This window comes from Homo sapiens, chromosome 17 (genome assembly GCF_000001405.40).
Source record: "Homo sapiens chromosome 17, GRCh38.p14 Primary Assembly".
In the NCBI taxonomy this organism is placed as follows: domain Eukaryota; kingdom Metazoa; phylum Chordata; class Mammalia; order Primates; family Hominidae; genus Homo; species Homo sapiens.
The window spans coordinates 77,260,249-77,273,694 of NC_000017.11; the positions used below are offsets into that span (position 1 = coordinate 77,260,249).

General features: G+C 48.9%; 2 annotated features.

The window, feature by feature from the left end:
• Window positions 5,733-6,234: an enhancer, noted in NCBI's record as "H3K4me1 hESC enhancer chr17:75262063-75262564 (GRCh37/hg19 assembly coordinates)". NCBI's record gives its function as "activates a minimal SCP1, AML or CMV promoter by ChIP-STARR-seq in primed H9 embryonic stem cells {active_cell/tissue: H9 hESC(primed)}" and the evidence as "EXISTENCE:reporter gene assay evidence [ECO:0000049][PMID:30033119]".
• Window positions 6,235-6,734: an enhancer, noted in NCBI's record as "H3K4me1 hESC enhancer chr17:75262565-75263064 (GRCh37/hg19 assembly coordinates)". NCBI's record gives its function as "activates a minimal SCP1, AML or CMV promoter by ChIP-STARR-seq in primed H9 embryonic stem cells {active_cell/tissue: H9 hESC(primed)}" and the evidence as "EXISTENCE:reporter gene assay evidence [ECO:0000049][PMID:30033119]".

The window sequence follows — 13,446 nt, forward strand, 5'->3', positions numbered from 1 at the left end:
AGAGATGGGGTTTCACCGTGTTGGCCAGGCTGGTCTGGAAGTCCTGACCTCAAGTAATCTGCCTGCCTCGGCCTCCCAAAGTGCTGGGATTACAGGTGTGAGCCACTGCACCCGGCCTGTTTCATCTATATTGTTCTTTACCACACTCTCGGTGACATCAGCCAACTAACTTATTCTCTCTTCAATGTATCCAGCCAACTACATTCTGTCTGTTGGCTTCTTAATTTCAATAATTACACCTTTTGCACACAGACCACAACAGGGTGAAAAATGTAATATATAAATACTAAAATGTAAAGCTTTTTTTTTTTTTTTTTTTTTGAGACAGGGTCTCACTCTGTCACCCAGGCTGAAGTGCAGTGGTACAATCATAGCTCACTACAACCTCAAACTTCTGGGATCCAATGATTCTCCTGCCTCAGCCTCCCAAGTAGCTGAGACTACAGGTATGCATCAACCACACCCAGCTAATTTTAAATTTTTTTTTGTAGAGATGAGGTCTCACTTTGTCACCCAGGCTGATCTCAAACTCCTGGGCTCAAGCAATCTGCCCACCTTGGCCTCCCAAAGTGCTGGGAATACAGGTGTAAGCCACCATGCCTGGCCCATGAAAAACATTTTTTAAAAAGAGAATATAAAAAAATTTTAGAAGGAAGAAAAAACTAAAATAAATAAAAATCATACCTTTAACTTCCAGGATTTCTCACTGATTATTTTTCGTGACCACCTGTTCTTATTTAAGCCAGTTTTTTTTGTTTTTTTTGTGTTTTTTTTTAGACAGAGTGTCACTCTGTCACCCAGGCTGGAGTGCGGTGGCGTGATCTCGGCTCACTGCAACCTCTGCCTCCCAGGTTCCAGCAGTTCTCCTGCCTCAGCCTCCTGAGTAGCTGGGACTACAGGTGAGCGCCACCGCACCTAGCTAATTTTTTATATTTTTAGTAAAGACGGGGTTTGCACCATATTGACCGGGCTGGTCTCGAACTCCTGACCTCGTGATTTGCCTGCCTGGGCCTCCCAAAATGCTGGGATTATAGGCATGAGCCACTGCGCCTGGCCTTAAGCCAGTTTTGGTTTTACAACTTCTTGTTTTCTTTGATGATCCTAAACATTTTAATTTGAAATCATTTTCAGATTCTTCCGTTATTTCCATTTCACCTGCAATGATTTAAGGGTTGATTTTTCTTAATTGTCTTTATTAGCAGCAGCTTTGCCATGTGGTTGGGGTGAGGTGTGTAGGTTTGTCTTGGGTAAATGCCTCTCTCATTTCAGTCAATCTCTGTCTCTCTTTCTTCCTCTTCCTCTTCCTCTCTCTTTCTCCTCTTTTTTGCTCTCTCTCCCCGCACCTTCTCTCCCCCACTCTCTCCCCCAAATGGTGAGGTCGTGTGTTGTTGGCTCAGAGTTCCCACCTCCCGGGGGCTACTGGGGATTTTGCTGTCCGGGTGCTGAGTCCCTGGGTGCCAGGGCTCTGAGGCCATGGCTGCTTTCTCCCCTCTCCAGGTACACAGCTGGGAAGCCCTGTCCCCACCCCTATGAGTGGCTCCAGTGCCCTGCCTCATTTTTAGTATCTGTTACATGGAGATGGTTATCTTACTTTTTAAAAAATTATGGCTATATCTTTTAATTTTTTCTTTTTAAAGTTTATCTGTCTTTGCTATACGGGATGACTTGAAAAATGAACTTAAAATGCCATCTTTTTAATGCTTTAAATATTTTCTTTTATTGTGAGCCCATTAAAATAGAAAAGCAGTGTAAATTTTTAGTTTTTTGGAATGTAATGGGTTTGGAGGTTAATTTTTAAAAATAAGGCCTCATCAAACCAACTCAAATGTGAGTTCAGCTGAGTGTTTTTTTTCCCCACAGTGGGGAGGCCCTGCCAGCTTCATGCAGGCCACAAATAATAAATTACTGTTCCCGGCCGGGCGCGGTGGCTCACGCCTGTAATCCCAGCACTTTGGGAGGCCGAGGCGGATGGATCACCTGAGGTCAGGAGTTCGAGAGCAGCCTGTCCAATATGGTGAAACCCCGTCTCTACTAAAAATACAAAAAATTAGCCAGGCGTGGTGGTGTGCACCTGTAGTCCCAGCTACTCGGGAGGCTGAGGCAGGAGAATTGCTTGAACCCAGGAGGCGGAAGTTGCAGTGAGCCAAGATTGCGCCACTGCACTCCAGCCTGGGTGACAGGGCAACACTCTGTCTAAAAAAAAAAACAAAAAACTGTTCCTATTTAAAAGTTGGAGGTAATAAAATTTCCCTGCAAGATAAATGCTATCAGTTTCTCTCTATTGGAAGCCTGCTTGCTAATTGAAGTTAATTGCTAATTTTTGATAAACTATTTTGTTGAATTATAACATCGACATAGAAAAATGCACACATTGTAAGTGTGCAACATGATGAACGTTCACATGTGGACATATCCATGTAGCGTCTGCTCAAAAATCTCGAACAACTCGGGCGTGGGGCGGGGGTCATTAACTCCACTTCATGGGTAATGAAACAAAATATCAGATAAGTCACGTGACTTTTTCTCCCCAAGGTTCTCAGCTAGGAAGAGACATGCAGCCTGGGCACAGTGGCTCACGCCTGTAATCCCAGCACTTTAGGAGGCTGAGGCAGGCGGATCACCTGAGGTTGGGAGTTCAAGACCAGCCTGACCAACATGGAGAAAGCCCATCTCTACTAAAAAAAAAAAATACAAAAATTAGCCAGGCGTGGTGGCGCAGGCCTGTAATCCTAGCTACTTGTGAGGCTGAGGCAGGAGAATCGCTTGAACGTGGGAGGTGGAGGTTGCATTGAACCGAAATCACGCCATTGCACTCCAGCCTGGGCAACAAGAGCGAAACGCGAAACTCCATCTCAAAAAAAAAAAAAAAAAAAAAAAAAAAAAAAAAAAAAAAGGAAGAGACATGCAGGGAGGGTCACAGGCCAGATCTGCAGCCCCACATTCAAGAAGTGGCTCTGAGCCCCTGCTGCAGCCAGGGGAGGGGCTGAGAAGGTGGGAAGTGCCAGCTGAGGGCAACTGAGCACAAAACACTGAAGTCAGTCAGATGGGCCCAGGAGGGATGAGGGGGCAGGGCTTGTGGGGGATGCCAGGGCTGGAGAGTGCCTGTGGCTGGTCTGACCCTGACCCTGGGGTTGGAACAGTCATCTTAGCTCCCCAGGCTTTGGAATTGGGATTTTGAGATCCTGTATCTCTTTTTTTTTTTCAAAACTAGAGGGCTTTGATGGGGTCATTCAGTTTTTATGTGACCAAAAAGACATGTATTTCTAAAGACACACACTACTTGCTACTGCCATGTTTTATTTCCTTATTTACAAAAATTTTCGGCCGGGCGCAGTGGCTCATCTCTGTAATCCCAGCACTTTGGGAGGCCGAGGCAGGTGGATCGCCTGAGGTCAGGAGTTTGAGACCAGCCTGGCCAACATGGAAAATACAAAAAAAAAAAAATTAGCTGGACATGGTGGTGCATGCCTGTAATCCCAGCTGCTTGGGAGGCTGAGGCAGGATAATCACTTGAACCTGGGAGGCGGAGGTTGCAGTGAGCCGAGATCGCGCCATTGCACTCCAGCCTGGGCGACAAGAGTGAAACTCCTTCTCAAAAAAAAATTCAGGCCAGGTGCGGTGGCTTATGCCTGTAATCCCAGTACTTTGGGAGGCTGAGGCAGGAAGATTGCTTGAGGCCAGGAGTTGGAGACCAGCCTGGGCAACATAACAAGACCTCATCTTTACTAAAAAAGTAAATAAATAAAATTAGTCAGGTGTGTTGGTACACACCTGTAGTGCCAACTACTCGGGAGGTTGAGGTGGGAGGATTGCTTGAACCCAGGAGGTCACGGCTGTAGTGAGCCACGATGGCACTGCTGTACTCCAGCCTGGGTGACAGAGTGAGACCCTGTCTCAAAAAACAACAAAAAAATTTTCAGTGGCCAGTTACTAGATAGCATTGTTTTATTTTTTGAGGACACTCTCTCTCTCTCTCTCTCTCTCTCTCTCACACACACACACACACACACACAAAGGAAAGAAAAAAAAGAATGAAGACCAGTCCTTTGAACACCTTCAGCTTTACAAAACAACCTCTTTGCGTTGTCTTCTTTTATCTCCTTTTGCCTTGGACAGGTGAGAACTTGTCACAGGCTGGCCTCGGCCCTCAGCCTGGTGTCTGGGAGCCCTGAATGGCTGGGAGCGGGGGAGGGGTCAGCAGTGATCTCTTTTAGGGCTAATTGTGTAGGTCGGGGTGGCGGGAGGTATGGGGGTGGTGGTGGTGAAGCCTCTGGGTTTCCAGACTTAGGAAGTAAAACTACAGGCTACGCAGTTACACCTGAATTTCAGATAAACAATCATTTCTTTTAGTGTAAATATGTCCCAAATATTTTATACTAACAGAAATTATTTGCCGCTTATCTGAAATTCAAGTGTAACTGGGCGGCCTGTATTTTATCAGGCAGTCCTCGCCAAAAGACACTTTCAAGGAGATTTGGGACTGAGCAGAGTGTGCTAAGGAGACCTGAGATGATGCCTGTGGGCGCCGAGTGGCCGAGTGACTCTCGTCTCCTGACTCTGCTCCCTGCGACCCGAGCCACCTGCAGCTGCAGCCCCTGTGGGCCTGGAGCCCGTTTCGCAACACCCCCACCAGCGCCGCTTGGCAGGGGTATTTATTTATGTTTTTAATGAAAGCAAATTAAGATTCACTTACTCTTGAGAGCTGTGCTACGATTGCCCTTGTGATAAGTGGAGACACCTGGCTTTTCTCTACCTGGCCGGTTGCCTACGAGAGAGGCCTGCGTGGGGTTCAGTTTCCCAGGCTGGTCCCGCAGTGGCTTTTCAATCCGTCATCAAATCTTCATCAGGCGTCTCTGCACACAGCACTGAGGGAAGCACTGGCGTCCAGGCTATAGTCAGGCTCCCTGCCCTCCATCACTCACCATCTACCTGGGGGTGCAGTAGCGCCCCAGGAAGAGTGAAACAATAGGTATATTATCCCCAACCCCACCCATGGCACGGGCATTGCTGTCCCCCACAGAGCAGATAAGAAAACTGGGGCTCAGATGTTGAAGGACCGTGTTGAAGAGCACAGAGCTGGTTTGTAGCAGAAGTGGAATTTCCACCTTGATCTCTGGGTTCCCTCTACCAGACCCATGGTTCTCAGCCCAGGGAGCACTGAAAAAAGCTCCAGGCCCAGATATTCTGATTTAATTGTTCTGGGGTGGGTACTTTTTAAAGTTCCTGAAGATTCCAGTGTGCAGAGAGACCTGGGCCTCCCCCCACCATTGAGACAAGTGCCTGCTCCGGCTGTTCAGAGGAGGCAGCCCCACAGCAGGAGAAGCCCCTCTCCACTGAGGACAGATCAGAGTCCGCAGAAAGAACATGCCGGGGACTGGATGGCTTGAGCAGCGCTGAGTGGGAATGCACGAGGGACACTAGGGCAGTGACTGGCCCCTCCTGCAGGTCCGGAGGGCTCATGAGGCGAGTAAGAGGGAAAGCTGAGATTAAGTGAGATTCTAGGCTGGGCGTGGTGGCTCACACCTGTAATCCCAGAACTTTGGGAGGCCGAGGTGGGCAGATCACCTGAGGTCAGGAGTTCGAGACCAGCCTGGCCAACATGGTGGAACCCCATCTCTACAAAAAATACAAAAATTAGCCGGGCGTGGCGGCGCACGCCTGTAGTCCCAGCTACTCAGGCGGCTGAGGCAGGAGAATTGCTTGAACCCAGGAGGCAGAGGTTGCAGTGAGCTGAGATCATGCCACTGCACTCCAGCCTGGGCAACAAGAGCAAAACTCCATCTCAGAAAAAAAAAAAAAAAAGGATGAGATTCTAGATGGAAGCTAAAGGATGAGATTCTAGATGGAAGCTGGAGGATGAGATTCTAGATGGAAGCTAAAGGATGAGATTCTAGATGGGAGCTAGAGGGAAGCTAAAGGATGAGATTCTAGATGGGAGCTAGATGGGAGCTTGCCTCAGGCTTTTCTGTTGATGTTTCTCAGGGATCCTCTCTTCCCCTGGAGCAAAAGGCACAGATGAAGTGTCAGGGAGGACGCCAGTCCCATATCTTCTTCTCACCCTGGAGTGGCAGTTTCCTCACAGAAAGCCCATCCTGGCTCCTCCCCCTGCAAGGAGGGATGTGGAGGGACAGAGGAGCAGCAGGCAAGGCCAGCAGGAGGTGACATAGGCAGGGAGGACCAGGCCAAGGTTGGGAGGAGTCTACATTTGGCGCTGGGGTTGGACACCTGGCTGACCTCTAGTGTGTGGCCTTGCGGTGGCTGATGGATGCCCCTCCACCCCCATCCCACAGTGCCTATGTTCCCCAAAGGGTGTCCCGTGGAACTGGCAAGGTGCCTTGTGATGAAAAGGTTCTGGGGTCAATACATTTGGGAAATGCTGCATGCTGTAGCCCTTATGGACACCCACAGCCCCCACGAGCCTCCTACAGGCTCTGAGAAGTCCAGCAATGAAGAGAAGCCTGTGAAGGTTTGTTTCACGTTCAACTGTTGCCACTTTGTGACCTCAGAGCCCTCTTTTCTGTGTGACATTGACACCTATGCACATGACGGAGGGCACCCTGCAGCAGGCAGGCGCAACGCAAGGGGCGCGGCTGCACCAGGCTCCCCCCGTGGAGTGATTCGCTAAAGAAGGTGGGAAGTGGGGGTGTCTCTAGCATCTGTGGTCCCCAAGTTAATGAGGAGGAGCCATGCCCTGCTCAGGCTGCTGGTGAGGGAGGGAAGTGCCTTCTCTGAGGATGCGCTTGTGATGAATCCAGGAAGGGGGCGCTCTTCGGGGGAGCCCAGCAGCTGTCAGAAGCCTGGTGTGGAGGACCAGGAGCGCCTGAACCTCAGGGCTTGAGGCTGCGCCCTGGCTCGCCTGGTCTGGGGGGAAGCTCAGGCCTCTGTGGGCCTCAGTTACTGACAGACCCAGAACCCTGCCTCGTGGGGAGGGAATCAGTGTGTGTGAGCTGCGTGATCTCAGACTCTGCATCATATATTCTATAGAATGCAGGCGTACATGGAAACCGCACATCAGGAGCGGATGGCGAAAGACTGCTTGAAAATTGGCTGCAGACCAAACCACCTAAATCCAGAAACAAACCGAAACTTGCTTTAGGTCCTAATAACAGTGAGTTTACTTGTAAAAGCTTTCATTAATTTAAGATAAAACAAAAGACCCTTTAAAGTATAATAACACTGGTTGGGCACAGTGGCTCACGCCTGTAATCGCAGCACTTTGGAAGGCCGAGGCAGGTGGATCATCTGAGGTCAGGAGTTCGAGACCACCCTGACCAACATGTTGAAACCCCGTCTCTTTTTTTTTTTTTTTTTTTTTTTTGAGATGGAGTTTTTGCTCTGTTGCCCATGCTGGAGTGCGATGGCACAATCTCGGCTCACTGTAACCTCCACCTCCCGGGTTCAAGTGATCCTTCTGCCTCAGCCTCCTAAGTAGCTGAGATTACAGGTGCCCACCACCACGCCCAGCTAATTTTGTTTTTGTTTTTGTTTTGAGAGACGCTCACTGTGTCGCCCAGGCTAGAGTGCAAAGGTGCGATCTTGGCTTATTGCAACCTCTGCCTCCTGGGTTCAAGCGATTCTCCTGCCTCAGCCTCCTGAGTAGCTGGAATTACAGGCACGTGCCACCAGGCCTGGCTAATTTTTGTATTTTTAGTAGAGACGGGGTTTCACCATGTTGGTCAGGCTGGTCTCGAACTCCTGACCTCGCAATCCACACGACTTGGCCTCCCAAAGTGCTGGGATTACAGGCATGAGCTACTGCACCCGGCTAATTTTTGTATTTTTAGTAGGGATGAGGTTTCACCATGTTGGCCAGGCTGGTCTCAACCTCTTGACCTCAAGTGATCCACCCGCCTTGGCCTCCCAAAGTGCTAGGATTACAGGCGTGAGCCACCATGCCTGGCCTGAAACCCCCTCTCTACTAAAAATACAAAATTAGCCAGGTGTGGTGGTGCATGCCTGTAATCCCAGCTACTTGGGAGACTGAGGCAGGAGAATTACTTGAACCCGATATATATAGTGTATGTATATAATAACACTGAGATAGGCACAGTGGCTCATGCCTGTAATCCCAGCACTTTGGGAGGCCAAAGTGGGAGGATGGCTTGAGCCCAGAAGTTTCAGACCAGCCTGGGCAATAGAGTGAGACACCATCTCTACAGAAAATTTGCAAATTACCCAGATGTGGTGGTGGGCACCTATAGTCCCAGCTATTCATGAGGCTGAGGCCGGAGGATCACTTAAGCCCAGGAGGTTGAGGCTGAAGTGAGCTATAATCATACTGCTGTACTCCAGCCTGGGAGACACAGCAAGACCCTGTCTAAAAAAATAAATAAATAAAATAATATACTAACATTGATTTCAAAAAATGTGTCCATGGATAAAAATATAATGAATATATTCATCACACATGGATATGTTCCTGGACATATCAGTATATATCATGTATATCTTTTTTTCCAAAATGTGAAAGTAAGTTTATTATAGAAAATATGGAAAACAGAGAAAAATACAATGAAGAAAATAAGTCACATTTGGTGTATTGCCTTCCTGTATTTTTATGTTTTACATTTATTATGTTTTACATTTATTATGTTTTATGTTTCTGTTTTCTACAAGAACAAAATCCGGCCAGGCACAGTGGCTCACGCCTGTAATCCCAGCACTTTGGGAGGCCAAGGTAGGTAGGTCACTTGAAGTCAAGAGTTTGAGACCAGCCTGGCCAACATGGTGAAACCCCGCCTCTACTAAAAGTACCAAAATTAGCCGGGCCTGGTGGCACGTGCCTGTAATTCCAGCCACTTGGGAGGCTGAGGCAGGAGAATCACTCAAACCCAAGAGGTGGAGTTTGCAGCGAGTTGAAATCATGCTACTGCACTCCAACCTGGGAGACAGGGTGAAACTGCGTCTCAAAATAAATAAATAAAGTAAAATCTTTATTTACATATAGTACCTGTTGCCTTCATTTTAAAAATGTTTTATTTTATTTTATTAGAGATGGAGTCTTGCTCTGTTGCCTGGGCTGGAGCGCAGTGGTGCGATCTCAGCTCACTGCAAACTCTGCCTCCTGGATTCAAGCAATCCTTTAGCCTCAGCCTCCAGAGAAGCTGGGATTACAGGTCCGTGCCACCATGCCCGACTAATTTTTGTATATTTTTGTAGAGACGTGGTTTGACCATGTGGGCCAGGGTGGTCTTGAACTCCTGACGTCAGGCAATCTGCCTGCCGCAGCCTCCCAAAGTGCTGGGATTATAGGTGTGAGCCACCGCGCCCGGCCTTAAAAAAGTAATTTATTAAAGTGAAATTCACATAACACAAAATGAACCATTTGAAAATGAACAACTCAGGGGCCTTTAGTTCATTCAGTGTTGTGCTACCACCATCTCTACCTGTTCCGAGATGGTTCCTCTGGTTTTCATTGACACTTGTCACAGTTGAGCACACTCTCCCACCCAGTCAGAGAACTTTTATTTATTTAACTCTCAACCTAGTATTGAAGACTTGCTTGTTTTCAATTTCTTGGTCTTGTAAATGGGGCTCCTACAGACACCCTTGTGCATACCTTTGGTCGGACTGTCTATTTCCTGACGGCAGGGCCCTGAGCAATCTCGTCCCACAGCTCAGTACCCCCCTCTACCTGGATGACTCACAGAGTTATATTTCCAGCAGAGACTCTGCCTCTGCACACCAACCCATATATCCCAGCGCCCACCTGGTAGTTCCCCTTGGATGCATTGAACACACAACACGACACGCCCAGAGCCAGCCCGTCCTCTCTCTGCAAGGTGCCACCTGCCATCCTGCTGCTCCCGCCGGAATCCTGAGAGTCATCCCTGGCGATTCGCGCCCCAGCTCAGCCTCCAGATGCAGCCCAACCCCAGTTCTGGGTGATTTTATCTTTGGAATTTTGCTCAAATACATTCCCATCTCTCCCTTTCCCCAACCTAGGTCCAAGCCAGCATTTCCTCTTGCCTGAAGCACAACCTAGACTCCTAACCGGACTCTGGTCCGTCCGGTCACTCCACATCTCACTGAGAACCAAGATTGCAAAATGCAGATTAGATCGCCTAGCCCTGCTTCCCTCTCAGAACTTTCTCTGACTTCCTACTCCTCTTAATATAAAAATCCAATTCCTTAATGTGTCTACAAGGCCTGGTTCCTCCACTATGTCTCCAGACTCTCTGGGCTCTGACCTCCAGGGCCCTCTTCCCATTCCTTGTGTGGACCACACTCCTTGCAGCCACAGGACCTTTGCACAGGCCATTCTCCGCCAGCACCCTCAGCCCTCTGTTTTTCCTGGTTAATCCTTGCTCATCATCCCATCTCAACCTGGTCTTCCCTGCCCTCCACCATGGGAGAGTCCCTGCTCTCTCCTTGCACCTACTTACCCTTTACCGCTGTTGTCATTTTATTTGGATTATATGATTATTTGATCAACATCTGTTCTCCCTACCAACGTATAAGCACTCCATACCGCTCTTGTTATTTATTTATTTATTGAGACAGAGTTTCCCTCTGTCGTCCAGGATAGAGTGCGGCGGCGTGATCTCCACTCCCTGCAACCTCCGCCTCCGGGGTTCAAGGGATTCTCCTGTCTCCACCTCCCAAGTAGCTGGGATTACAGGCCCCCGACACCACGCCTAGCTAATTTTTCTATTTTTTAGTAGAGATGGGGTTTCACCAGTTGGCCAGGCTAGTCTTGAATTCCTGATCTCAGCTCTTGTCATTTTATTTGGATTTATTCTAAGATTATTTGATCAACATCTGTTTTCCCTATCAAAATATAAGCACCCCATCCTGGGGCCCATAATGAGTAATCAAGAAATATATGTTGAGGCCGGGCGTGGTGGCTCATGGCTGTAATCCCAACACTTTGGGAGGTCGAGGTGGGTGGATCACTTGAGGTCAGGAGTTCAAGACCAGCCTGGCCAACATGGTGAAACCCCATCTCTATTAAAAATACCAAAAAATGAGCCGGGTGTGGTGGCGGGCGCCTGTAGTCCCAGGTACTAGGGAGGCTGAGGCATGAGAATTGCTTGAACCTGGGAGGGGGAGGTTGCAGTGAGCCGAGATGGCGCCACTGCACTCCAGCCTGGGTGATAGAGTGAGATTCTTGTCTCAAAAAAAAAAAAAAAAAAAGAAAAAGAAATATATGTTGAATCAGTAAATGAAAAAGCAATGTAATTACCAGGACAAAGCACATGGGCATTTGGAAAGCTCTGGAGGATATTTCCAGAGTGCTTTCCGGAAGGGTGGTAGCACGGAACACTTGCACCAGGCATATGGGAGGGTCTGCGTAGCCACGCCTTCACCATAAATTTCACACATGTAGCAAAGCTTCAGTCATCTAACAAGTGCAAGCCCCCGGGCCAGCCATAAAGTGAGAGTACAGTCAGCAGCAGACGCTGAGCCAAGCAGGCAGAGAGCAGCTGACTGAGTCAAAGATGAAAAGGTGGCCACAGACCTGGCGTGTCTGGGCCCCTCTGGAGCCAGAAGACAGGAACCATCTCCCTGGTTGCCTGTTAAAGCCACGTCTAATCATTCAGGCCTGGAAGTCTGGGGAAGCGGCAGAGGAAAGGACTGGAAAGAAGTTGACAGAAGAGGCTGAGCATGGTGGCTCACACCTGTAATCCCAGCATTTTGGGAGGCTGAGGTGAGCAGATCACAAGGTCAGGAGTTCAAGACCAGCCTGGCCAATATCGTGAAACCCCCTGTCTACTAAAAAAAAAACAAAAAACACAAAAATTAGCTGGGCGTGGTGGCACGCACCTGTAGTCCCAGCTACTCGGGAGGCTGAGGCAGAAGAATTGCTTGAACCTGGGAGGCAGAGGTTGCAGTGAGTTGAGATCATGCCACTGCACTCCAGCCTGGGCGACAGAGTGAGACTCTGTCTCAAAAAAAAAAAAATGTTGACAGAAGAGAAGAAAAGGCAGGCGGAGGTGGCAGAGCTCAGAGACAGAGGCAGGTGTCAGAGGCAGTGGCGGGCTCAGGAGGTCTCACATCTGCTGCCAGTGTGAGAAGGTCTGCTCTGGGGACCGTCTGGGGCTCATCGGCTCACACTTCTGGCACTGGGGCTGGGAAGATTTGAAGATCAGGACTGCTGACCAGGGCACCTACGTGGGGCTTCCCCATGGTGTGTTGATCCTAAGATGACTGCAGTGATCCTTGTCTCCTGGTACTCACAGCCTCTGTAGCTCCTTTCTAAGCAACAGAATATACCTCTGTGCAACAATCAGGTTGCAAGAGATTCTCATTTTCCTCTTGGCAGCAGACTCCCTTCCTTATTGGCTTTGATAGGCCGAGTGGCTACGTTGGGAAGGCCCACACAGGAGGAGCCCATTTCTAGCTGGCTAAGAACTCAGGTGCTCTGTCTTTGAGCCACCTTTTTATTTTTATTTACTTTTATTTTATTTTTGAGATAGGGTCTTGCTCTGTCACTCAGGCTGAAGTGCAGTGGTACAATCACAGCTCACTGCAGCCTCAACCTCCTGGGCTGAAGCAATCTTCCCACCTCCGCCTCCTGGGTAGCTGGGACTACAGGCATGCATCGCTGTGCCTGGCTAACTTTAAATTTTGTGTAGAGACAGGGTCTCACTACGTTGCCCAGGCTAGTCTCAAACTTCTGAGCTCAAGCTATCCTCCTGCCTCAGCCTCCCAAAATGCTGGGATTACAGGTGTGAGCCACTATACCTGGCCCTTCAAGACTTAAAGAAATGAAATTCTGCACCAGGTATGGTGCCTCATGCCTGTAATCCCAGCACTTTGGGAGGCCGAGGCAGGCGGATCACATGAGGTCAGGAATTTGAGAGCAGGCTGGCCAACATGATGAAACCCCCTATCTACTAAAAACACAAAAATTAGCCAGGTCTGATGGCAGGTGCCTGTAGTCCCAGCTACTCGGGAGGCTGAGGCAGGAGAATTGCTTGAAGCTGGGAGGCAGAGGTTGCAGTGAGCTGAGATCACGCCACTGCACTCCAGCCTGGGCAACAAGAGTGAAACTCCGTCTCAAAACAAAACAACAACAAAAAACAAAACAAAACAAACAAAAAAACAAGGCCAGGCGCGGTGGCTCATGTCTGTAATCCCAGCACTTTGGGAGACCAAGGTGGGTGGATCACCTGAGGTCAGACGTTCCAGGCCAGCCTGGCCAATGTGGTGAATCTCCATCTCTACTAAAAATACAAAAAATTAGCCAGGCATGGTTGTGGGTGCCTGTAGTCTCAATTACTTGGGAGGCTGGGGCAGGAGAATTGTTTGAACCTGGGAGGCAGAGGTTGCAGTGAGCCAAGATTGCGCCATTGCACTCCAGCCTGAGCAACAAGAGCAAAACTCTGTCACACACACACACACACACACACACACACACACAAAACAAACAAACAAAAAAGAAATGAAATTCTGCCAAGTACTGCATGAGCTTGGAAGCAGATCTTTCCCCAGCTGAGCCTT